At 44.2% G+C, this 26,487-nt stretch overlaps 1 long non-coding RNA gene across 3 annotated transcripts in view, besides 1 other annotated feature; it reads left to right on the forward strand.

Annotated features, from left to right (window-relative positions):
* LINC02641 (long intergenic non-protein coding RNA 2641) overlaps positions 1 to 26,487 on the forward strand; it is a 214,291-nt gene that overhangs the window by 52,800 nt on the left and 135,004 nt on the right. The gene's annotated exons all lie outside the window — the stretch shown is intronic.
* Positions 2,324 to 2,413: an enhancer, noted in NCBI's record as "active region_4158". NCBI's record gives its function as "activates an Ori minimal core promoter by ATAC-STARR-seq in GM12878 lymphoblastoid cells {active_cell/tissue: GM12878}" and the evidence as "EXISTENCE:reporter gene assay evidence [ECO:0000049][PMID:35858748]".

Raw genomic sequence — 26,487 nt, forward strand, 5'->3', positions numbered from 1 at the left:
CACGGCTGCATCCCTAGGACTTAGAGCCATGCCCAGGGTGGAGTAGGGGCTCAGGGAGTATTTGGTGCCTCCACTGGGGAGGGGAAGGCACCTCTGCACACCTTCAAGCCAGTACTGATCACCTGCTCTCAGTCATGGTTTGTTGGTGCCCCCTCTGGGGCAGGGACTGGGCCCCTTTGTCTGGGCATCTCCCTGGCACAGTCAGGTGAGTAGGGAGGCCCAGCTTGGGTTTGTGGACTTCTTGGTGTCTCCATATCAGGAGAGGGCTCAGAGCAGGGAGTGGACATTTACAAGTATGGGAATGAGGGAGGTTTCTTGGAGGGAGGGGTGTGGGATTGGGCAGGAAGAGAAGGAAAGGGAGGTACATGGATTTGCAGGCACCAGGTGTGCAGGGTGGAGAGAGCACTGTGGGCACAGTCGCTGAGGTAGGCAGGGGCTCTGGACCAACTGCTGCCCCATTTCCAGCCTCAGTTTCCACTCCAGGCCTTGGACAGTCTGCTCCCCGCATAGGTGTGCTCCCTCCTGCCTCAGGACCTTGGCACATGCAGCTGCCTCCTGTAAAACATCCTTCTTGCCCCCGACTCCACCCCCAGTAGCATTGCCCTCTTCATGCATCCTTCTACTCTCAGCTCAAAGGTCAGAGAAGCTTGCTTTACCCTCCCAGACCCCGTCAGGGCCCTCTCCCACCTCCTCCCGCAATACTGCATTTTTCCTTGGTTAGGGATGGAGTATTACAGTTGGAGGTGAGTACTTCCAGTAGGATTTGAGCTAACATTGCTCTCCCTCCCTGAATGGAAGTGCAGGGAGCACAGGGGCCATGTCTAATTTGCTCAGAGTAAAATCTCCAGCTCCTAGCACACGCCTGGCACATGACAGGCCTCGGCATGCAGGGGTTGGCTGAGTGAGTTCCAGCCTGGGAGTCGCCTGAATGCACTGGGGTGTCACAGGAGACCAGGCAGACAAAGCTGGTGGGACTTCCTGGAAGGATTTGAGGCACAGCCACAGAGCCCCTCCTGCCAAATGCCCCAGATCAGGCAGCACGTGAGTTTATAGGGGTCCTCTATACAGGGGTGGCATGGGTCCCCACACCTCCTTTTCATCAGCTCTATCTGGGAGAACTAGACCAGCTTTTGGAAACCAAACCCACGTAGGCAATAGGTTTGTTTGAGGCTTTAACAAATCAGGCCTTTTAACATCAGAAAGCCAGGCAGCGTGGCTGCAAATTGGAGAGATCATTTTTGTTTAGCTCCTGGTAAATAGCTTTGTATGGAGGAAAGTGGAGCCAGGCCCAAGAGCAAGAAAAATACAGGTCAGGAGTCTGGGTCTGTCTAAACCTAAAAGATGCAAAAAATCTTGGATCCTAAGACCACGAGGCTGGGTTTTGGAGCTGTGGCACATGTAGGCATTGAGGCTTGATAGCTCTGAAATTGGGGCTGGACCTCCAGCCAGCTGCAGAGGCCTGACCAGTGCCTCGTTAGGCTCAGCACCCAACACCAGGGTGCCTGTATGTGATGTGTGGGGGCTTGCAGAGGCTGAAGTGAGGGGTTCTCTCTTCAGCAGCTTCCACTGTGATTTGTGGGGCAGGCTCTCACATTCCTTCAGAGCATAGAATCGGCTGGCCTGTTCCCAGGATATACCCAGGGCCTGGGTCAGCATCCACCCTGCCCTCCCAAGGAATCAAGGGAGGGAGGGAGGAAAGAAGAGAGGGAGGAGGGAGGGAAGAGGGAAGGAAACAGGGAAGGGGGTTCCTTATTCTCCCCCAGCCCCATATTTTACTATGACAAGGACTTCTCGCCTCTCTCCTGCTCATGAAACTTCCTAGGCAACATAACCTTTTGGGTGGAGCAAAGTCACTGGATCCCTGAGGCAGCCATCCCCTTCCAGATCCCAGTTCCCCTTCTCCTCCTTTGTGGCTCCTTTGCCTCAGGAGGAATCTCTGTTTTCTCATCTGTAAGGACGATAGCTCACTTCTTTCATTATTTGGTCTGTTGAAAGTCAGGACTGAAAGTCAGAACTCAAAAGAGGAACAAGGCCACAGGCAGGGCCACACAGAGGTCAGTCCAGGTGGCAATGTTATGGGAGATTAATTTGGGAGCCCTTAGACACTCCTCCTAGTGCTTGACTGAAAAAGGAGAAGTGAGTATTTCATCTGGACTCTCATCTGCTTCTTATGTTGGTTTCCCTGCCTGAAGTTTAACAGTAAATCATGCCTGAAAACACAAGCCAAACGAGAGACTCCTGTCTCTTCCTTCAGGCTTGCACACGTTTCTGTGAAACTGGGGAACTGGCTTAGGATCTTGGTAGCGTGCGGTGTTTGAAAAGCCCACCAGAAGATGTTTCCAAGCACAGCTGGAATATGGAGCCACCAGCAACTGGCTGGAGGGGACACTGTGCTTCAAGCCCGGCAGCATTAGAAAATGTATTGGGTGCCAGTGGGCCCCGGTGTCACCTTTTCTAGAGAGTCTACAGGCCTCCATCCTTGCTACCCCCTGTTGATCTGATAGGAATGGCACCACCACCATGATCATCATCACCACCATTTACTCACTCAGGTACTGAGCACTCATGGTGCACCAGGCTCTGTGGCCGAAAGCCCCTCACTCCTGCCAGGATGCCCAGGTTTTGTGTTGGCCCAAGATGTGCTTGTTCTGTGACCTTGGATAGGTTGTTCAATGTGGCCTCAGGTATCTCACCTATAAAATGAGAATAATAATAATACCCACCTTCAAGGTCATCATGAGGATTAAATGAGCTATATACATAAAACTCACAGCAGACCTGTGGCTATAGTAAGTGTTCATTAAATGTTAGTTTCTGTTATGAATGCTAATGGACCTCCCAACAACCCTGCATGGTAGGTGATTATCCAAATCTTCCATGTGAGGAAACTGAGGCTTACAGAGCTTTGGCAACTTGACCATGGGCTCAGAGCTGGGAAGTGGTGGCATGGGGATGAAAAGTTAGGCAGGCTCACTTTCCAGCTCCCATTCTTAATCATGACTGTGAAGAGTTCCATATGTTTCCCTAATCTCCATCATCTCCTTCTGTGAGAAGACTAAGCAGCTTACAAAACACCACTAAGCAGTGTCCCTCTTGTTGAACATTTTTGCACACATCTCCCAGTACACACATACAAGGACATGTACCCAAGAGAGGGATGATTGTGTCATAGGCAGGATGACAATATAACTTATCGTTCAATCCAGGACAGTTTTGAGAGTAAAAGGGGCTGCTAATATTTATGCTGGTGCAACAGGTGTTTTCTCAGGACAATCCTAGTTTACCATGTACATGCATTTTAAACAAAATCTTTAATGAAGAACATAAGACTTTAGAAAACTTTTTAACCCCCAGGCAATCCCCCCCTATACTTCATACTTATGACTTACAGGCTGTGGTTTTTTAGTATTTTAGTTCAGTATTTAGTTAAAATAGAAATTTGTGTAGATTTACCTGTATGTTTTCCATTTGATTTGCTCAGTTTCTTCTTGTAGCATAGACACATTTTCTGTTATCTTTTATTTTTTTCCCTGATGAATGTCTTTTAAATGTTATTTTACTGACTATAGATCTGTTGGTAGCAAGCATTTTATTTTTTGTTTATAAAATTTTATGAAATTACTTTTTATTTCAAACTATGTTGGTTACAAATTTTAGGTTAACATTTATGTTCTCTCAGTACTGAAATGGTATGGTTCCACTGTTTCCTGGTTGTTATTATCATTGTTGAGAAGTCTGCTGTCACTTTAATGTCTTTGTGGGTGGTCTGTCTTTTCTTTCTGGCTGTTTTTAATATTGCGTCTTTGTCTTTGGTGTCCTGCAATTTCAATGCACTATATCTACACATATCTTTTATTCTTTTTGGATGTATACTTCCTGGATTTATGGATTCATGTCTTTTATCAACTTGGGAAACTTTCTTGGCCACTTTTCTCTGAAAAAATTCCATTTTCTGTATTCTTTCCTTCTGTGATTTTTATCAGATGTGATTTAGAACTTTTAATTTTAGCCTTCATAGATCTTAGCTTCTCTTTCATATTTTCCATCTCCTTGACTGAAGTGCTACACTAATAGGTAATTTCTTCAGCTCTGTATTCCAATACACTAATCTCTCTTCAGTTGTGCCTCATCCATTATTTAACTCATCCATTGCATTTCTGATTTCAACAATAGTTTCATTCCTAAAAGTTCTATTGGGTTATTTCTTAGATATCTTTGGTTATTTTGATGGTCTTTTCTTGCTTGCTTATTTTTGTAATGCCAATTTTAATTTCCTTTAACAGTTAATGCAACATTATTTCATATTATCTAACTAGTAATTATAATTTCTGAAATATTGGCAGTCCAGGTTTACTGTTGGATGTGTTTGCTAACTTTAAGTCATAGTGACTTATTTTCTTGTGTATTTGGTGGTCTTTTATTATGGGGCCATGTTTGTATGTGCTTAATTGGTAGGAATCCTATAGATCTAAATGCTTTCCTCCGAAAAGTCTTTGTATTAGATTTCTTTCTGGGACCTAAAAACGTCTATGAATTTGGGGTCACTTTAGACTGTTGAGGGTCTGTAATTTAATATAGTAGTTTTAGGCTTAGCTCCTCCATCTTGCTGATGGCCTAGCGATTAGTGTCTCAGTTGCAGAGCTGATATTGACATTTGTACTCAGTGCAACCCCATCTTTCCATCTGCTTAATGCAGGTTTTCTTTAGCTCAGGTTTGTTTTTCTTTGGGGTGAGGACGAGGTCCTTGGACATTAAACTTATTTCTTACAAATCTACCAATAAAATAAGTGCAGCAGGACAGCCCTTTGGATAATATTAGCTTCCATATTGCTGGAAACAGAAGTCTAGATGCATACATTTTCCAGGGATGAAGTGTCCATATCTAGAAAATAGGCAAGACAATATTGACTCCTTCATGAGACTGTTTAGGAGATAAAGTAACTGATCTAAAGGAGTGGTGGCTTTCCAGAGCAGTGGCTACTGATGTTCCCTATTCTCCTGCCCCACTCCTATTTCCTGAAAGTGGACTGACCTACTCTTGACTCACATTTCTGATGAGCCATAGGCCAGGAAGCCTTGAATTCTGGGGTTTTCAGACCATTGCTTCAGCTACTCACTCCCTCCTTCTCAATACCCTTCATCTCTCTACAACTGATTCTAACCTGCTTCCACTTCATCTTGTCCCACCGTCCTAAACCCTTGGCTTTGTGACTCTGGAATCTCTCTGCTTGCTTTTGCTTCCTTTTCCCCTCTGCTCTCAATGTGTTAGGCACCCTTTCTGTTGCTGGCATTTGGACCTCAACTCTCCTAGCTCTGACTTTACTAATCTCTCCAGTCTTAGCCCCTCTTGTCATCTTGGCAAGAAACTCTTTGCACTAGCCTCACCCTATGCAGTCCAGCCAGTTCCAGGGGCTGATAGAGGGAAGGGGGATGTTGGATATGTTAGGGGCATTTTTATGGTTAACTTCTGTGGTGGAAAGATCATTTGGAAATCACACTGAAGATTATTGTTGGGTGAGTAAGTTGGAGGGGCATTTTACTTTGTATTTCAATACCTGTTTTTATTTATAAGTCACACATACATCTCTTCCCCACTCCACTCCACAACCTCATTTTCCCTCCAAGCATTTAGGAACAAAGAGGTTTCTAAATCCAGTGTAAGTGAAAGAGCCTGAAAACCTGTCAGCAGATTAAACAAAGAGTAAATCTTCATGATTTGGGTTAGGCAATGACTTAGATACGACATTCAAAGCACAAGCAACAAAAGGAAGAAATGGACAAATTGGACTCATAAAAATTAAAAATTTTTGTACCACAGGTGGTGTCATTAAGGAAGTGGAAAGACAATCCATAGAATGGGAAAAATATTTGCAAATAATATATCTGATAAGGGACTCGTATACAGAAAATATAAAAACTGTACAACTCAATAATAAAAAGACAAATAGTGCAATCTTACAAAAGGGCAAACGATCTGAATAGACATTTCTCCAAAGAAGATAAACAAATGGCCAGTAAGCACATGGAAAGATGCTCAGTTTTGTTAGTCATTAAAGAAATACAAAGCAAAATCACAGTAACAAACCACTACGTACCCACGAGATGTCTAGAGCCAAAAAGATAGACAATAGTAAGTGTTGATGAAGATGTGGAGAAATTGCAACCTTCATGCATTGCTGTAGCTACTTTGGAAAACAGTGTGGCAATTCCAAGTTAAATGGAGTTACCATGTGACCCAGGAATTCCACTCCTAGGTATATATCTGAGAAATGAAAACATATGTCCTCATGAAAACTCGTCCATGAATGTTCATAGCAGCATTATTTATAGTAGCTGCAAAGCAGAACAACCCAAGCACCCATCATCTGATGAATGGATAAACAAAGTGTGGTTTATTCATACAATGGAATATTATTTGGCAATAAAAAATAACAGAAAACTGATATAAGCAACAATACTACGACATTAATGAATGTTGAAAAAGTTATTCGGAGTGAAAGAAGACATTACAAAATACCACATACTGAATGACTTCACTCATACAAAGTGTCCAGGATAGACAAACCTGTGGAGATGGAAAGCAGATTCCTTGTAGGGCTGGGGGTGACAGGTGGGAGTGACTGGGAGTAACTGCTCATGGGTACTGGGCTTCTTTGTCAGGTTATGGAAATGTTCTAAACTCAGGCTATGGTTATGGTTATACAATACTATACTAAGAACATTGTTTTGAGTGAATCATATGGCTGATAAATTTTATCTCAATAAAGCTGGTTTTATTTTTATTTTCTTAAAGTCAGCAATTCTTTTCCTTGTCTAGGAATTTAATTCATCCCTGTTAACAAAATGTTCCATTAAAATTAGGGTTGCCAGATTTAGGAAGTAACAGTACAGGAAGCTCAGTTAAACTCAAATTTCTGACAAACAAGCGATAATTTCTTAGTTATAAGTTTGTCCCAAATATTGCATGAGACAAACTTATAATGAAAAGTCATCTGTTGTTTATTTGAAACTCAACTGAGCATCCTGTTTTATCTTGTTCTCCCAATTAAAATGTAATGCAAACCACAGCGTTTTAATATAGAGCTACATTATTTTCAAAATCATCATCTGTCTCTTCATACACATCCCCTAACTCCAGTACCAGAGGTAACATTGTTTCCATTTTACAGAGCATGAACCAGACCTAGACGGATAAAATGAATGTGACCCTTCATTTTATCCATGTGACCCAGTAGCAATGCCGTGATCTGAACCCAGGTCTGCCTGACTCCCAAAGCCAGGCCCCCTCTACTCGAAGTGCAGGGCCCATGGCCACCTTGCTGTGGCCAGTGGTGAGAAACCTGATTCTCTCCTCGTTTGTGTAAGGCGTGGGGGGAGTCTGAAACCTTCAGTCCCCATAACATTCCTAGCAGGGGCTCTGAAGCCTGGTTGCTGAGGGTGCTGGCAAAACAGAACAGCAAGTTCCCATTAGAATGTTCTTTTCTGGGAGGAGATAACAGGATAATAGGTATGTGACTTGCTACCTGTAAAATGATGAGTGACAAAGAGTCACTCCAGATTAGGGTAATTCAGAACGAGTTAAGCCAATACCTGTGCTCCTTAGAGATCAATTTTTATTTTGAGGTGAGGAGAGGAAAGATGAAAGAGATTTAAAATAAAATTCAGTGTTCCCTTCCCAACCTCAAAAAAGCTTGGGAGCTTTGGAGGGAGGTCTCTGAGTGCCTGGTGAGAGATGGTAAATGTGGATGAGGGCAGAATGTCCCTGAAATTAAAGACATGTGGCTTAGGGACAAATGAGACCTCTGCACTGGATTCCTCAATATTTCCTGCATGAAATCTCTGCACTGAATTCCAGTCTCAGGAAGAAACTGGATGTATACATGATGTTTAAAGATGTTTAACATCTTGAACAGGCTACAGTCAAAAACTAAACAGGCCATTGGGGGATAAATGATATTTTTCTTCCTCTCTTCAGTCATCATAACAAATTCCCTGATGGTTGGGTCAATGGAGCACCCTCTTCTAGGGCAACCTACTGTAATGCAATAGCGAGTTTCACTCTGGTATATTCTATGATATGGATAGTAGTTCCTAAATAGTGGTCATTGAACGAGTGTCAGACTGCATCTGAGTCATCGAGGAAGATTCTAAAATATGAATTCCTGGACTCCATTCCTATAGATTCTGATTCAGCAGGCCTGGCTTGGAGTCTAGGAATCTATGATTCTCATTACTAGCAAGCCCCCAAATGGTTTTGATGGACAGCCAGACTGGAAATCCCTGGTAGAGGTGAAGTGTCAAGATGCTCTATGTCAAAATTAAAAGGTTTGCATTAGACAAGGTCAGGATGTCAGCAGTCTTTGTTTTCTGCAAAAAGGCCTTGCTTTTTGCCATGGATCTATTCATGACATGAAAACAATTTTTTTTAAGAAGCCAAATTGTGCTATAAATATATTAGGACAAACGACTTTTTAAGGAACTCCTGCAGGGAAGCTTTTTCTAAGGCATAGAGCCCATTTGTCATCAAAATCTTTTCCCCCAAAGCAAATTTGCTGGAATGGAAAGCACCGCACCCCAGGAGTGCAGACAGCAGGGTCTGAGCTGCAGCCCTTCCTGATTTTCAGCTGGATGAACTTGGACTCATGGCTTAATTTTCTGGGACTCAGGCTTCCGAGGAGGTGGAGGGATGGTGGGGATGGAGGGAGCCAGCTAGGGGAGTAAAGTGGGAGGTGAGTGGAGGATCTCAAAGCCTCTTTCCAGCTTCTACACTTTCTTAGGGAATCCTATTATATTTTTCTTATTCTATTTCAGTTTTTGCAAAGCAGTTCATGATTGCTTCTACTGCCAAATAGCCAACCCCCCTCCCCAACTCCAGCCCAATTTGTAATTAGGCGTCACGGGCAGACAGGCTGTTCTTGACTCCTGGCCAGAAGCTCTAGTCTTTTGTATAAATACATATGCCAGATCTTAAGTGAGTATGTGTTATTTAAAACCCCAGAATTTCAGGGTGACTTTAGTCTACCAAACAGATTCTCTTGTCCATAGCCGTGGACTTTTTTTCCTTGATCAGACATATGCTTCTCCCTTTAGTCTCCCAGTGGCTCAGGAGTCCACTGCACCTGTGGGATCTTGAAGGCGGTCAGAGGTGCTTGCTCAACTCTTTCTCACTTAAATAGCCCTTCCATGAAGCTGCCTGTGCAGACACCTGACCAGTGGCGTGGGGTGCCTTCTGCCGGGGATCTCTTCTTCACTTGAGGCCTGAACGTAAGGCCAAATTCCTCTCCAGTGTCACCAGGAGAACAAATTTATTTTCTCTGCATATGACCTTGTCGCTTTTCTTTCTGCCCTCCAATTTTCTAGCTAGTCAGAGTCATGTGCTGGGCTTGTGAGGTCTTCCTTATTTGATTATATTCATTGATTGTAGCCTGGTTGTACTGACGAGGCTTGAGAGTTCTGGAGTTCTCAGGAATTGATCAACATCACTCTCAGGAAAAATATCGAACTTGGATAAAAAGCACATCTTAAAAAGCAGCTCTGTCTGATTTCTGATGTTGTTGTTATAGCAAAGTGATGTGCTCACCACCTGCTTCTGACAGTGTTACTGGTTTGAGTGTCAATTGAACCTGCAGCCAAGGTCAGAAATAGTGTGTGGTTGGGATGCAGGAAGCTGGGAATTAATCTCAGTATCATCCAGGCACTTATGATGCAACTGGAGTTTGATGATCAATGTCTTTTTGAATACCCTTGATGCTGCGTTCTTGGGTCTCAGTATCTGTTGTTATAAAATCCATTCTGATCACTCAGAAACTGTATAAATACACATTAGTAATCCATTTGATCCAAAGTTGAGGTCACAACTATGAAAGTCACTGCAACGCTTTTAGTGGGAAGAGAAAGTGTTTCCTGTGATGATGGAGACGTCGTCAGTTGCTGACTTCACCCCAGCACAGAAGCCAGTATGGAGTTTAAAGGGTGCTGAGGTGTGGTCAGATTTTAACTCATTTCAAAGGTCCACAAAATAATGGATATGTAGTGAAATTTTACCCGTGGCCCTGGAAAAAGTTTGTAAATTGCAGAGGTGTAGCTGTCACACAAACAGCCCCTTTGAGAATTTAGCCAATGGCTAAAGACACCAGACGCACCCCAGCGTTTAGGAGTCTGCTCACAGAATGAGAGAACAGGGCAAGTTTGCAGCCATCAGGTGCCCCCAAATTCTGCATTCACGTGTCTACCACTGCTCCATGCCTTTGCCTTGCAAGGAAAACCCAGATTTCTTAGTTACTGAACTTGTGGAGAGTTAGGTGCTAATTGGCTGCCAGGGGGAGCGTAGAAATTCCATGGATTACCCTTCGCATCAAGATGGCACAAACAGGTGTTTGCTGAATCCTCTCTCTACCAAAGGAATGCAAATAGGACTACAACCACTAAATATTTAAGGATAGTGGACTACTCTACTTTATGTCTTATAATTTAGGTGATTCCAATTGCTCGCCCTTAAGAGAAGGAAGGAGAGAGAGAGAGAGAGGGAGAGAGACACTGATTCTGTCTCTTCCTTGGAGTATATCTGGGATAGAAGCAGTGAACCTGACATTCCCACCCTGTCTCCATTCTTGTGTGTTGTGGTGTCTGCCCCTCCCAGTGGGGGGCATCTCACGATGCTATGTGAGATTCTGTGGTTTAAAGATAGTTGTGCAACATTGTTCCTAAATGCAAGTCAACTCGGTGTTCAACTTAGGCTAAAGGAAACCTAGCAGGGCTGGATTTTGAGAGACAGAATGCTGGCGTCCAACAGGTGCCCCCAATGGATTTTCCAAGGCTGTGGTTGGCTCTAGGTGATTAGAGCCCCACACAGCCTTTTAGAATCTAACCCCTAATGAAGTTCACCTCTGAGGCAATTCTTTGCTTTTCATCAGCTGTACATTTAGGGTAAGAGTTTTGTATCTCATTTCGCACCCCAAACATCCTCTTGAAGTAAGTAGAGCAGGCATTTATTATTACCCCCATTTTCACAGATGAAGAAATGATTGGATTTTCCCAATCAACAGCACAGGGCACATGAGTCACAGCTGGGCTCCACCCCAGCCTTTATATCCCTAATCCCTCACTCTCTCCACTTTGCAGGTTTCTTCAGGATGCTGAGTCTTAGATTCTTCTGCCAGCCAATAGGCAAATCCACAGGCCACAATATTTACCTCCAAACCACCTGGCAACAGTCATTATCACGGTATCCCTATCGGGCACTGATATGGCTAGGATTTGTGTCCCCTCTCAAATCTCCTGCCGAATTGTAATTCCCAGTGTTGGAGGAGCCCCGTGGGAGGTGATTGGCTAATGGGGGTGGTTTCCTCCATGCTGTTCTCATGATAGTGAGTGAGTTCTCACGAGATCTGGTTGTTTAAAATAGTGAGTAGCACCTCCTGCTTCTCTCTCTTCCTTCTGCTCCAGCCGTGTAAGACGTGTCTGCTTCCCCTTCACCTTCTGCCATGATTGTGTTTCCTGAGGCCTCCCCAGAAGCAGAAGCCTGTACAACCTGCAGAACTGTGAGCCAATTAAACCTCTTTTCTTTATAAATTACCTAATCTCAGGTAGTTCTTTATAGCAGTGTGAGAATGGACTAATTCAGGCACTTAGGGTTCAGACAGTGTGCTAAACACTTCACATACTTCATCTCATTTGATTTTCTGAGAAACTTATTGGTTAATTATCATTATTATGCCCATATTACAGGTGAGGAAACTGAGGCTTAAAGAAGTACGTAGTCGACAGGCACTGAAATGCTCACTGTATTTGCTTCCTGGGGCTGCCATGAAAAAGTATCACAAGCTGGGGGGCTTAAGACAGCAGTGATGTGTTCACTCACAGTTCTGGAGACTGTAAGTTTGAAAGCAGGGTCTCTGCAGGGCCATGCCCTCCCCAAAGGCTCTGTGAGGGGATCCTTCCTGGCTTCTTCTTAGCTTATGGCAGTTGCCAGCAATCCTTGGCCTCTCCTGCTTGCGGCAGCATCACACCAATCTCGGCTTCTGTCAACCCAGGGTCGTCTTCCCTCTGTGTCTGTCTCTGTGTCTCTCCTCTTCTAATAGGGGCACCTGTCATATTGGATTAAGGGCCCTCCATTCTCCAGGATGACATCATCTTAATTAAACTAATTACACCTGCTACTAATCTATTTCCAAATAATATCACATTCCAGGGCTCTGGAAAGGACACACATTTTGGGGGAGACACTATTTAACCTGGTACATTCTGTAATCCTGTTTCTTCTTCCCGGACACACAGGAATTCCACTCTTCCTAGTCTCCCTTACAATTAGATTGGGTCTATGTTCCTGCATTTTGGATAACAGAATGAGAGCAGAAGCAATGTTCATCATTTCCAGGGTTGGCCATAAAACACCTGTGTAATCTTCCACACTCTCTTCACTCATCAACAGATTGAATTTGGGAGATGACTCTAAGGAGGCCCTAGAAGCTGGAAATGCCCTCAGATGGAAAATGCAGAGATCCTGCATCCACAGCATGGAGGGCCTGCTTCTGAGGACTAAGCGGATTAAATAAACCTTTACGGGGCTAAGCCTCAGACCTGCAAGCTGCTTGTTATAGCTGTTAGCCTCACTAATACAGACATCTAACTGGTAAACTGCAGAGTGGGATTCAGACACAAGTGCATTGAACCCAAAGCCTAGGTTCTCAATTGCTGTTTGGTTTCCTGACCATTGCTCTTGCTAAGTTAGCTAGTGTTTTCTTTCTTTCTTTTTCTTTTTTTTTGTATATGCCCATCAGTGGTTTAGCAGCTGAGGGCACTTGTTTCCAAAATGACCTATTGCAATATTGCCCACTAGTGATCCATGTGTGAATGTGCATCGTTAGGGGGGTAAGAAGACAAAGTCCAGAAGTGCTAGAATGTTCTAGCATATTCATCCCCAGTTCTTCGCAGAGGAACCTACCAAAGAACTTCTGCATCAGCCTGTCCTTAGAAGGTCACCCATTTTTTTCATGTTGTTCCTCTTTATACTTCTAGGTGATGTCATGCCTCTTTGTAACCCACCCCTTCCTCACCGGCCCTTCCAGGAATCTTGGGTGGGTCCTTGTTCCACTCGTCCTGAAGCTTCTTGAGTGCACACTATCTGCCAGGCACCAAGGAGGCACAGTGAAGGAAACTCTGCTGTCTCAAGGCTCCTATTCCTGGGGGAGGCTGAGATCAGGTCCTGAGGCGCAGGGCCCTTCATGGGATTGGGCCACAAGACACAAAAGTGAAGCTAAAGACAGAGCAGGTGTAGATCTGTGCCTCGACCTGGCTGGCAGTCGAGAAGGTTTCCCAAGGAGTAGTATTTGGGGTGACACCAGGTGAGGACAGTCTGAGTGAGCTGGGTGTATAGGGAGATGCTCCAGAGCAGGGCAGGGAGGGGCTGACTGGAGCAAGGAAAGGAGACTGGGCCTTTCCTGGGCCTGGGCCCATATGATGGGGGCATGGCACTCAGGGTAATTTTGTGCAGCTCTGAATGCACCTCCAGAGGGTGGAACCACCTCATCTTAAGATAAAAGTTTGGAAGCAGCCCTTTATTTTGGCTGAGCTTTTAGCTTCTAGAACAGTCTCCCAGGCTTCTGAATGAGCATCAGCCATTAGCATAGACCCCGGAAAACGCATGTGAGGTTGTTGGTGATTCTATGGCCTCAAATTTTCTATTTTGTGCATTGCTTTTCCTCATTTCTTGCTATCTATCTAGGGCCATGTTTTATAAACTAAACATTTCTCATGATGCGCAATCAGAATCTCGTGTATTGAATTATGAAATACTTGACACATGCAAAATATTACATAACATACATGGAAGGCATGTGAACCAGCCACTCAGCCAAAATTATAATTAAACCACTCATCCCGTGTGCGAGAGCATTAGTTTTTTCCTCACCACTTTCTATTTTATTTTTTAATTTTTAAAAATGAAGGTTACTTATTAATGGTAGAACCCTTTTGCTATGAATAAAATTATTGTGACTAATTTTATAAGAAAAAGATGTGGTTCATTACATTTTAAAAAGCAAGTTTATTGATATAACAATAAACTGCCTCTACTTAAAGTGTAAGTTATGACATATGTATACACCCGTAAATTCATCTGTGCCATCAAGATAATGAACATGTCTATCTCCCCATGGTAGCCCCTCCCTCATCTCCTTGAACCTCCATCTGTTTTCTGTCACTAAACATTAGCTTGCATTTTCTAGAATTTAATATAAAAGGAATTATATGGTATGGATTCCTTTTTGGCTGGCTTCTTCCATGTAGCATAATGATTTTGAGATTCATTCCTGTTGCAGTGTGCATCAGTAGTTCTTTTTATTGCTGAGTAATATTCCATTATATGGATATATCACAATTTGTCTATTTATCTCTTGATGGACATTTGATTTGTATCCAGTTTGGGTATTACAAATTAAAGCTGCTATGAACATTCATGTACATCTCTTTGTTTGGAAATAGGCTTTTATTTTTCTGGGTAATTTTATTTTATTATAACTTTCACCTCTTTCATAGTCAGATATCGTCTACTGTATACCCACGGCTTCTGCACAGACCAGGCAGGACAGGAGTAAGGGTGTTTTTGCATTCCAATTTGAGACAACTTTAGCCACTGGGTTCTGGTCCAAGGAATGAAGCTTTAACTTGGCCTATGAAGTTGATGAGCACATGCAAAGTATAATAGCTAAGTTAGTAAGAACGATCGTCAGGAGACCATTGTTTATGACAACCGACATGGAGGAGGAGAGGAAGTCTTCCTTCATCTCGTCTTAATCACATTTTCTCCTTGCCATGAGATTAGCAAACAATGCCCAGGAACAATCTGTAGGTGAAACACATCTTTTAAGGGTTGTTCATATCCGTTCCCAAAGTAAATGACACAAAACCAACATGAGTAGAAGCCAGGACAGGCGTAATTAATGGTGTTTATTTTTCATTAGGATGCCAGAACAATTCCCTAATTGCTAGCAGATTCTAGGATCTGCCTTATTTGTAAACAGTGGTTCACAAAAAAAGTCATTAACAGAATAAACAGCCAATTTAGAGGAAGCAATTGCAATTATAAAATGTGTTTAACGGTTTAAAGAATATTGGTGATATTTCGTAGAGGCTGTCTCTCCCACATTTGAACAGCTACACTTGGCTCACCAGACACCACCCACAGACCCCAACAAATCAGGACTATCCAGCTGGTTTGATCACTTTCTTAAAATGTGAATTTTCTGATTATAAAGCTAACTCATCCTCATTATAGAAAATTTGCCAAATACAGAAAAGAACGACAAAGAAAAAAATCTCCCATATTCAACCTTTTAGCATTAACTATTAACATTTTAGTTTATTTCCTTCCTCCTATGGAATTTATAGTTGGGCTTGAACTCTATATACCATTGTGAATCATGACTTTTTCCCCTTGGCATTATTGTATAAACATTTAGTCTGTTTATTAAAGCTTTTTCTTTGTAAACACATTTTTAATGGCTAAAACATATCCCATTGTATGGACAGCCTATAATTTACTTAACCATTGCCCTTGTTGTGTGTACTTAGGTGTTTTCTCATTATTCCATAGCATAAATAGTGTTGCAATTAGTATCTGGGCAAAAATATTTTTAACTGTATTTAGGATAATTTCCTTGGAATATTATTCCCAGAAGTGAAATTTCTAGACCAAAAGGTATGAAAGTTTTTGAGGTTCCTGATACAAATTGAGCTCTGGGTTTTTTTTTTTTTTTTTTTTGGGGGGGAGTCTCACTGTCTCACTTAGACTGGAGTACAGTGGCGCAGTCTCGGCTCACTGCAACCTCTCCCTCCTGGGTTCAGGTGATTCTCCTGCCTCAGTCCCCCTAGTAGCTGAGACTACAGGCACATGCCACCACACCTGTGCCTGGCTAATTTTTTGTATTTTTTTAGTAAAGATGGGGTTTCACCACGTTGGCCAGGCTGGTCTCGAACTCCTAACCTCAAGTGATCACTTGTCTTAGGGCTCCCAAAGTGCTGGGATTACAGGCATGAGCCACTGCGTCCCACCAGAAACTCAGCTCTGTGTTTAATGCAGTCTCCCGGTAGAGGTGATAAGAGACTAAACCCAAAGGCAATGGTCATGGTTAAATAGATTGCCTTGTGTGGGAGCTGGCGTGATGTGAATAAAAAATCTCGAATTTCTTAGTTTGGAAAGAAGACAGAGGGTCCTGAAAAAAAGCATCACTTTCCAAGAGGCAGCAGCACTCAGACTGGGTGTAACAATGTAACTTGGAGGGAAACCCTGCTTCAAAGATGGAGATAAGCAAAAGGATGCAGAAATGAGCTGTCAGGGTTGTCCAAGTTTGAGGGGAATGCTGGAAGCCTCCAAAATGAAAGGCAGAGGCCATGCCTCACTCCCAAGACTGGGGTGACCATCCACATGAGTCCCCAACAATCAATGTCTGTCTTCTGTAGTTGCCTCCTGAGGGTCTTAATGGATTGTAACTCCCTCGAGAGGCAAAAGTAGTATTGTTGTTGTTGTTACTATTTAAATCCCCTTTGCTTCAGTATATGACACAAGGTATACAACAGGTGCTTACTAAATGAGACTTTAAGTTCCCCGAGGTTAGGATCAATGTCTGTCTTCTCTATTCCCAGTGTCTAGCACAGTTCTTACCATATAGTAGACGTTTAGTAGGCATTGGTTCAACAGAATATATTCAGATAGTTGCTGTCTAATAACCAGTCATTCAGATTCATTTATACAAAAGCTTGTGGGAGAGATAAAAACCCACTAGGTTTGGCTGAATTCCACCCTCTCAATTTTTCTTTCCTACCCCTCCTTACTCTGCTCTGCGTCCCCCACAGGGCTGAGCTATGAACCTACCCAACCAGTGACTAATACTATGATCAGGTCTGTCAGCCTGAGCCTCTAACCCAAGCTCGCTGAGATGGTGGTATCTGTTCTTTAGCTGCTTAACTAATGAGGAAGCAAAGTTGCTGAAGTGTCTTTCTCATCAGAAGTGATGAGCTTGCCCATGATTCAGAGAAACAATTCCATCTTTCTCCCAGTCTTGTGGGGGAAGCTGAGTTGGTTATTCATTCCACCTTTCTTTCTTTCTCTTTCTTTCCTTTCTTGTTCTTTCTCTTTCTCCTTTTTTTTTTTTTTTTTGATGGTGTCTTGCTCTGTCGCCCAGGCTGGAGTTCAGTGGCGCATCTCAGCTTACTGCAGCCTCTGCCTCCTGGGTTCCAGTGATTCTTCTGCCTCAGCCTCCTGGGAGCTGGGATTACAGGCGGACACTATCATGCCCGGCTAATTTTTGTATTTTTAGTAGAGATGGGGTTTCACCATGTTGGCCAGGCTGGTCTCAAACTCCTGACCTCAGGTAATCCGCCTGCCTCAGCCTCCCAAAGTGCTGGGATTACAGGCGTGAGCCACCGCGCCCAGCTTCATTCCATTTTTTCAAAAACTAGTAACTCATATTAATTAGTTCAGTAACCCAGGACTTATTTCAGATTCCGGCAACGATGTCCTCTCATCATCAAGCTACAGACTTCCAAGGTAAGACTGAGCCATGTTGCCAGCAGGCTGACATCTCAGTAACCATCGCCGTCGTTGCTATCATAGCATCTAGAACCGTGCTAGTCTTGCGTTCACCATGGCAACAGGACAATGCGCAGCCTCTGCATTTCCATTATCTTTTGTTGGTTTCCTAAAAGTGGTATTTTCCATGCCAGTATTTTCTTAGCTTACCAATTACACTTTAGAATTCTTTTTGTCTGAGGTTTGCTTCTCTAGCATTTGGAAAACAAATTCATGAAAAATGGTATAAATTCCAAATTGTAGGAAATGGAAGTCAGCTTGGGCACTGACTGGTTTTACAATGTGTAGTCTTAAGTTTTTCGAGACAGTATATAGAAAAAAGGTTAATTAAAACCATGTCATATATTTTTATGTAGTGAAATCAATTCCTGTCTAAAGTGTGATTAGTCTTCTAATCTGCCTGTGTGAGTCAGAATAAGCTGGATAAAGTTCAGTAAAAAATGACTCCAAGTTTCAATGGCTTTAACATGATACAAGTTCATTTCTCTCTCAGGCTCTTCATCCATTGTGGGTCATCAAAGGGCTTTGTTCCATATAGTCACTCAGGGACCCAGGGTAGCTAAGATGACATCAGGAACATTGTGTTTTCTGTGGCAGTAGAGGCAGAGAGACGGTTGTCTATCAGATCTTCTAGGCTTCAGCCCAGAAGTGGCACATTGGCCAGAACAATTCATCTGACCACTCCCAACTATGAGGGTAGCTGGGGAATGTGGGGAAGCAGATGGACTATTTTTTGAGCACCATTACTGTATCTGCCAAGGCTGATACAAGCAGTTAATCCTCTGGTCTATTTCTTTTAAAGGAGAGTTGAGAATTAGCTTTTCTGTTTTTTCCACCCCTCCCCTTCTCTCCCCTCCTCTCTTCTCTTCTCCTCTTGGAATATCTGTATCTGTATGTATCTCCAATTACAGTTTGAGCTCCATGAGGCTAAAATTTTACTTTCTTTTTGTATCCCCAGTGCCTAGTAGACTGTCAGGCACTTAATATGTATATAGTCCGTGGTTACTGAATAAGTGATAATTGTGTAAATGGAGGTTTTACCTTGCCAGAAATGATACCATAATATGGTCAATGAATTATAATCGCAGAATTCTACAGTGCCATAGAAGGAGAGAATCTTTTTGTCTAGAACTTTTGATGGCCCATTGACCATGAGGACACCGTGGCTGGGACAGCCAGTCAGTTGTTGGGCCAATGATGCTCTTCTCTATGCAGGCTTTCTTGGAAGCTGTCTTCCTAGAGTGGACAAGCCCACGTCTTCATAGGAAAAAGATTCGTGGAAAGTGGAATCTCAGCTTTGGTATTGTACCCCGTCCCCCCACACGCAGCCCCACTTTTCATTTTTCACTTCAGCTTCAGCACTGAGGCAACTTTCCCATTATTCAAATCCTAGGAACTTTGTCCAGGTCTCAGGCTTCTCTGGGACTTACTTCTTGAAGCATCGTAGCATAGTGGAAAGGACTTTGACTTCAAGGAAGAGTGTTGGGGTTTAAATCCTGACTCTTGCAAGGTAATTTCTGCATGGCCTTGGGCAGGTCACTTGCCCCTCAGCCAGGGCTCTCCCCTGGGAAGTGGGAAAGTGCCGTGTGTCTCACGGGGTTGCTTCGGTGGCTAGATGAGACAAAGTATATGTAAGTCCAACCAGCAAGCAACAAGCTGAGCAGGTCTCTTGATGTGAGCACACAACTGTAGCCCATTGGAATAGTGGCAGTTGTGGCATCTGTCCTTCAGTGACTTAGCTGATAAGGAGCAAAGAAGCCAAAGTTTCCTCCTCCTTATGAGATAACTGGCATGGCCAGAATCAGTGTGGCGTGGGACTCAGTTCACAGGTATTGACAATAAGAACAATAATGATAGAAACTTGCTTCATACCCTTCTCCAGCTTCTTCCTGTTCCCAATCCATAGCCCCTCCCCCTTCAAATAAAAGCAGAGCTGCTACTCAGCCTTCCTGAATGAAGGAGAGGTGACCTTGTCCAGCGTGCCCTCTGGATACCATGAAATGTCAGCTTCCTTCCCACCGGGTTGGGGTGGAGATTGGCTGTTTAGAGATCTGCAAACTTGCTTCACTCTCAGAGGAGAGAGGAAGTATGTTTTCTCAGGCATTGGGAGATACCCATCAAAATTCCACACACCTTGTCTGGGCTGAATTTTACAAAGCATTTGAAATGCTTTGTAAATTTAATTGTCTTCAGACAGTGTATTCAGATTGATTAGGTAATCAGTGCATTTGGTACAGTGGTAACTCGTTTTAATATCTAAGTAGAGCTGGTGGGCTTTCTTGTGCACAAAGTGCTCCCCAAGGTATTCAAGGCCCAGTCGGAGCCACACTCCTGTTGAGCATCACTCAGAGGCTGGGGAAACATCGGGGGTCGGGGGGGGGGGGGCGGGGGCATGGTGGATGGGGAGTGCAGGGAGTCTGCGAGGTTGTTGAGCCCAGCTGCTCTCAGGGTGCTTTGATTTCCTTTCAGACAATTCCCTGTGTGCTCTAACAAGCCATGGAATCTTCACTGGGTAGTTACTGGCGATAAGACATTGAGCTAGCCTCAGAGGAACTTGACCATAGGAAGTAGTAGAAGAAGGGACAGGAGGACCAAAATTGCTGTGCCATGTGCTTTTCCTGTGTCTCTTGTTTTGTTTTTTAAATTAGAGATGGGGTCTTACAATGTTGTATAGGTTGGTCTTGAACTCCTGGGCTCAAGCAATCCACTCACCTCGGCTTCCCAAAGTACTGGGATTACAGGTGTGAACCACCTTGCCCAGGCTGTCCTCTTGTTTAATACACACTATGAGGTACAGGGAAGCCGAGGCTTTATGAGGGTTAGTAACTTGTAATGCCACCACTAGTGGCAGTCGTTTTGGACAACATAGATCTAGATGAGGGGTCTTCAAACTATGGCTCATAGGCCAAATCTGACTTAGAGTTTAAAATGATTATATAAGTAACTGATTTTGCCTATTGGTCTTCAAAGCCTAAAATATTTACTACCTGGCCCTTTAAGGAAGAGTTTGCTGAGCACTGGTCTAGATAAAAGCACAGTGGACACTGTGGCGTGTGGCCAGTCCCCTTCCTTTCCAGCGTCTGGGGGTGTGGGCTGTTGGCAGCTCATAGTTGGATTCTTCTCTGAGAAATGCACTTGGCCTGCCCAGCCCAAGGTGAAATGCACATCCAGTGAATGGTCAGTGAGTGGGTACAAAGCCCAATTCCCTTAGCTCAACTTGGAACAATTCTGCAGGGCCAATCCAGCTGCAGCGCTCTTGTGGGGTAGGCTAAGGTCCCTGTGGTGACTCACAGCTCCATTCCTCCCTCCATCCCCCCAGCCTCAGCCACTCCTGTACAGGTGTCGATGCTGAGAGCTGTCTCCAGAAAACCTGCCCACAAATCTCTGCTCTGCATCTTCTGTTTCCCAGGAAACCATCCTGTGACAGCAGCTCTTCCTCACTCCCCTGCAATGAGCAACTTGGAGCCCAGTGGGGCTAGTGAGGAAGACTTTCCTGCTGGGGAGATAGGAAGGAAGGGAGCTGTGGAACTTGGTCTTGAGCTCCAGTGCCTTCCTGAAGGCAGAGGCAGAGCTGGACCACTCATTAGAAGACCTTCAAGGCCCTTTGTGCTCTGGCCTCCCCTTCACCTTTCCGGCCCCATCTAAGCCAGTGCCTCAGTTCTGTACCCCACCCATCAATTCTAACCGCCAGCCCAGTGGCATCTCTCATGCTTCTGTGAAGCCCCCTTCTCTGTCTTGTCACCTGGCTTTTGCACACTGTGGTCCCCCTGGGAATACCTTGTCTATTCTTTACTTGCCTGACTTGCCTTTCAGGGTTACAGTTGACAAAATAATAATAGATAGCATGAAGCTCTCACTGTGTGCCAGGCACCGTTCCACACACGGTGCATGTGATACCTAATTTCATCCTCTTAATAACCCTAAGCCACAGGGTCTTATTGTAGATGAGGAACTTGAGGCACAGCAAGGTTAAATAACTCGCCGAGGTCACACAGCTCAAAAATTGTGAAGCTAGGATTTGAGCCAGAAATTTAGGCCCTGAAGCCCAGCTGAGCTGTATACTTGGAATTGTCTGTAAAGCATCTTTCTTCTAGAACAGCTTCTCTTCTCCAGTGACCCTGCCACCAGTCATGGCTCAACAGTCTAGAAGTGGGCACTTGACCCAAGCTGGGCTGATGAGTGGCTCCCCCGGGTACAGATTCAGGATGGTATCTCATCAGTGTAAGTAAAACATAAGAGTATTTAGTGGTTATATTTCCAACTACCTGGAAGAAATGAATCTGTAAGGCGAAAGAGTGGGCTGGTCCTCACACGTAGAGAAGATGGGGAGAGGGTCCTGGAGTCACTGGGCTATCTGCCTCCAGCCTGTCCCAGAGGCCTGGCTGCAGCCTGCTCTTCATTTGATTCTGGGAGCTCACATCTCCTCCATTTTGCCTTAGCAAGGTCTGCTTGGGTTTCTGTGATTTGAAAGGCCCAAATGAAATGTTCCCTGAAGAAAGGCCTCGCTGTCACCACCTTGCTGCAGTCTGGCTCTGTAGGAAGCTCAGGGCCTGGGTTTCCTCTGATGACAATGGCTGACTAACAACAGTCACTTGGCCTGGACCTTAGGATCCCAGGCAGCTGTTTTCACATTTCTCCCAGCTGGGCAAGGGTGGCCAGAGTGGTGGGTACTGCACAACCACAGACTTAGACAAAATCAACACCAAGATCCAAAACATTTTAAATGGAGCATTCTGGCTTTTGCCAAAGTGCACAAAGAACAGGGAGTGTGAAAATGAGGCTGTCCCAAGGAGGAGGCTGCACAGAGGCGCCATCAAACATGCGGCTAATGAGATCTGGGCCCTCTCGAGGGTCATCCAGTCAGATGAGCCTGTGGTTTCACCGAATTGGCTTCAGCTAACTTGGTCAGGCACCCAATGCATAGGCCCTGTTATATCCCAGATGTGATGCCTTTCCCCAACAGAGATGGTGGTAATTGATGAACAAACTGGAGGCTATGGCAAGGTGCTGGAACTCAAGATATACAGAGAATAATGGGCTGATGGTTCATTCTAGAGAACAGAAACAAAGAAATGGAGAAGGCAGAGGGAGGACCCATGGAGGGGTGGAAGCCATGAGCTAGCAGAAATCCTGCATAAGGGGCAGTAGGAGCAGAGCATTGCTGAGTTGTCATAATGTGGGAGCCCTCGAGTCAGGATGAATTGATGTTGTCTCTGAGCTACCACGGTCACCAGGTGGCTCAAGCTTAGAGGTGTCCTGATTGACCTTCTTTTCCCAAGTTAGGCATGCCTCTGTGACGCCAGGTGGTGCCATCACTGTTCCTGTCATCCTCCTGGACACTGCTTAAGGTCACCTGAGAGTGTCTGTGTCCTGACATGTAAAGAGCTAAACCAACATAAAAGACAAGGGCTGGTGAGGATGTGGAGAAATTGAAGCTCTTGTGCACTGTTGGTGGGAAAGCAAAATGGTGCAACCAGTGTGGAGAAAATCATGGAGGTTCCTCAAAAAATGGAAAATTGAAAATTGAATTACCATATGATCCAGTAATCCATTTCTGAGTATTAGGAAGAATTGAAATCAAAATCTCAAAGAGATAGTAGCACCTCAATGTGCATTGCAGTGTTATTCACAATAGCTAAGATGTGAAAACAACTTATGTCCATGGATAGATATATGGATAAAGAACATGTGATGTATACATACAATAGAATACTATTCAGCCTTAAAGAAGGGAATCCTGCCATATGCAACAACATGGACAAATACTATAAAATTCCACTTATATGAGGAATTCAAAATAGTTAATGTCATAAAATCAGAGTAGAATGATGGTTACCTGAGGCTGGGGGGAGGAGGAAGTGGGAAAATTGCTGATCAATGGGCATAAAGCATCAATTATGCAAGCTGAATAAGTAGAGTAAGCTGCCCATCATGCTGGTGGTTACTAATACTATATTGTACACTTAGAAATTTGTTACGAGGGGCCAGGTGCAGTGGCTCATACCTGTAATCCCAGCACTTTGGGAGACCAAGATGGGTGGATCCCTGAGGTGATCCCTGAGGTCGGGAGTTCGAGACCAGCCTGACCAACATGGTGAAACCCCATCTCTACTAACAATACAAAAATTAACCAGGCATGGTGGTGTGCACCTGTAATCCAAGCTACTCAGGAGGCTGAGGCAGGGAGAATGGCTTGAACCCTGGAGATGGAGGTTGCAGTGAGCCAAGATCGCACCACTGCACTCCAGCCTGGGTGACAGAGACTCCATCTAAAAAAAAAAGATTGTTACAAGGGTAGATCTCATGTTACATGTTCTTACCATAGTAAAATTTAACAAATGTATTTTAAAGTGCTAAACCAGCAAACAGAACACAGGATGTCTTGGGGCAAAGGTGTCAGTCAGGGAGGTCCCGCTGAGCAAGGAGATGCTCCCGACCCCGAGCGAGTGCTGGCCCTTGAATGACCACCAGGAGAACCTGACCATCACCTTAGTTTCTTCTTCCATTCATTAATAACAATTGATGATACCTAAAAATTTTTTGTGAAATTTACATGATATAAAATTAACCATTTTAATGTGACCAATTCAGTGGCATTTTAGCACATTTACGAGATTCTGCAGCCACCATCTCCATCTAATTCCAAAACATTCTCATCACACCTAAATAAAACCCCATATCTATAAACCATCACTCCCCATTTCCTCCTCCCCCCACCCCTGGTCTGCTGTCTCTATGGATTTACCTATTCTGGATATTTCATGTAAATGGAATCCCACACTATTGTGACTTTTTGTGTTTGTCTTCTTTCACTTAGCATAGTGTTTTCACAGTGCGGCCACACTGTGGCATGTGTTGGTACTTCAATCCTTTTTATGGTTGAATAATATTCCATTGTGTGGATTTACAACATTTTCTTTATCCATTCATTAGTTGATGGATATTTGGGCTCTCTCCACCTTTCGTGTATTATGAGTGGTGCTGCTGTGAACATCTTTTGACGTTTTTGTAAAATCACAGCTAGAGACAAGTTTAGGGCCCGGTGCCCTGGACATGCCAGCTTTTCCTGGTGGTCTCCTGTACACCGTTAACATGGAAAAGGGCACTTTACCTCTACTCTGACAAGTTTAAATGGAAAAACTCAGGGACAGTGTCTCTGTAGGCGTCTCTCAAACCCACCTCTTAAAAGCCCACCCAGAGGTTGCTTAAGAAATTACTAGGTAATTGAAGCAATAACTTTCAAGACCAAAATATATATTTTCCTCTTCCATAGAACACAGCGCCCATAACTCCTGTGATGCTTTTAGCTGTTCTTGGGAATAAACTAACGACCCCTCTCCTTCCCTTCTGCTGAATGAAACACCGGAAGGAAAAAGTGCAAGCCAATGGGAATCATAAACAGAGAAGAGAGAAATGCTTTTTAAAAAAATTCTCAAAATATTTAAACCCAGAAAAGTGCAAATAAAATCCAGCACCACTGGCCCCAGGAGTCGGAGCGCTGGTCTTTTCTGTGCTACCTGAGGTTTGAGTGTGCAGTTGCGGGCATATGGGAGGGAAGGCTCCTGCTGTCAGCATCGAAAGCAGATACTCATTTAAATTCCAGTTGCATGCCTGAACGTTGTTTCTTCCGGAAATGTCAGCTCTCTTAATTCTTTCCCCTTTTAAACAGATCCAAATGATTTCCCCTTGATTGAAGTAAAAAGAGTGTAAATATTTTAGCATTTCATAAAACTGGAAACATTAGAGGCTACTTTCACAGTCATTTGAATAACAGCAAGCATTTCCTAGACATTCTAATCAATTAACTTTCCAGGGTAATTTTTCAAGGGAGCAGAATGGTCCAAAACCAGGCCAGTCACACTGTTGCCTGCTCACGTTTCTGTCACTTTGGTCATGGGGAATTTACCTATAAAGGGAAAGGGAGACTTCTCTTGCTTTGACCACAATAAATTGAGTGTGTTTGCGAGGGGCAGAGTGGTGGCCGTGGAAGCTAGCGTGTGTTTAGGCCCTGTCTGGGGCACGTGGAGGAACAGCTTTCTCCTTCTCATTGGCATCAGGATTAAAGAGAAGAAAATGGGTTGCTGTCTTTTCTACCTACGCAGCAGAAGGAGCATTCACAAATGAGAATTTCCCCAGCCCCAGCAGGGTGTCTAAGGAGCTACTTTGTAGAGTGTAATTTCATGTAGTATCTAAAAAAAAAAAAAAAAAAAAAAAAAAACTCCTTGCCAGGGTTCCCTCCACTAAAGGCCATTTGGAAGAACTTGGCAAGCTTAACGATGCCCTGAAAGGTTGCAGAGAAGAAAATGTATGGACATCAGCAAGTACCAGGAAGGATGCAGGCTTTGCCCGCAGAGACTTTGGAAGGCGCTCAGGTGTCTCCTGCAGGAACCTCCACCTGTGACAACACAGGCTCAGCCTCTGGGTGGAAACCCAGATAAGGACTCTGTCACCAGATTTCAAATCGTGGCCTATGTCTTTGGGCTGTGAGTTGGGGAGAAATGTTTAATTTTTACTTGAGCCTCATGGAGATGAGGGGAGCTACAGGCTGCTGACAACTATTTCTGATTTGTTTGGCTCCTGGGTGGGAGGGAGGCAGGAAATTGGAACAGGTCGCCCATTAGGAGCTAATGCGTGCTTAGGTCTGGTTGGCTGAGCTGCTTCGGCTCACCTGGCCAGGGCTTCTGTGCTTCAGGAGGGGCCTCACCTTGGGAAGGTGTGAGGAATGTCCCAGCCAGCAGAGATGCCAACGTGGAAGAGGGGTTGGAGACAAGGAGGCTCCGTTCCCCTGACCTTAAAGACCAAGAATGTGGAGAGCGGAGGATGAGAGAGGAGACGAAGTGTTTCATGTCTCCTCGCCCAAAGAGGGCTGAAGCTTTGCATCTAGCAGGTACCCAGGACCA

The sequence above is a fragment of the Homo sapiens genome, chromosome 10 (assembly GCF_000001405.40).
Source record: "Homo sapiens chromosome 10, GRCh38.p14 Primary Assembly".
Lineage (NCBI taxonomy): Eukaryota > Metazoa > Chordata > Mammalia > Primates > Hominidae > Homo > Homo sapiens.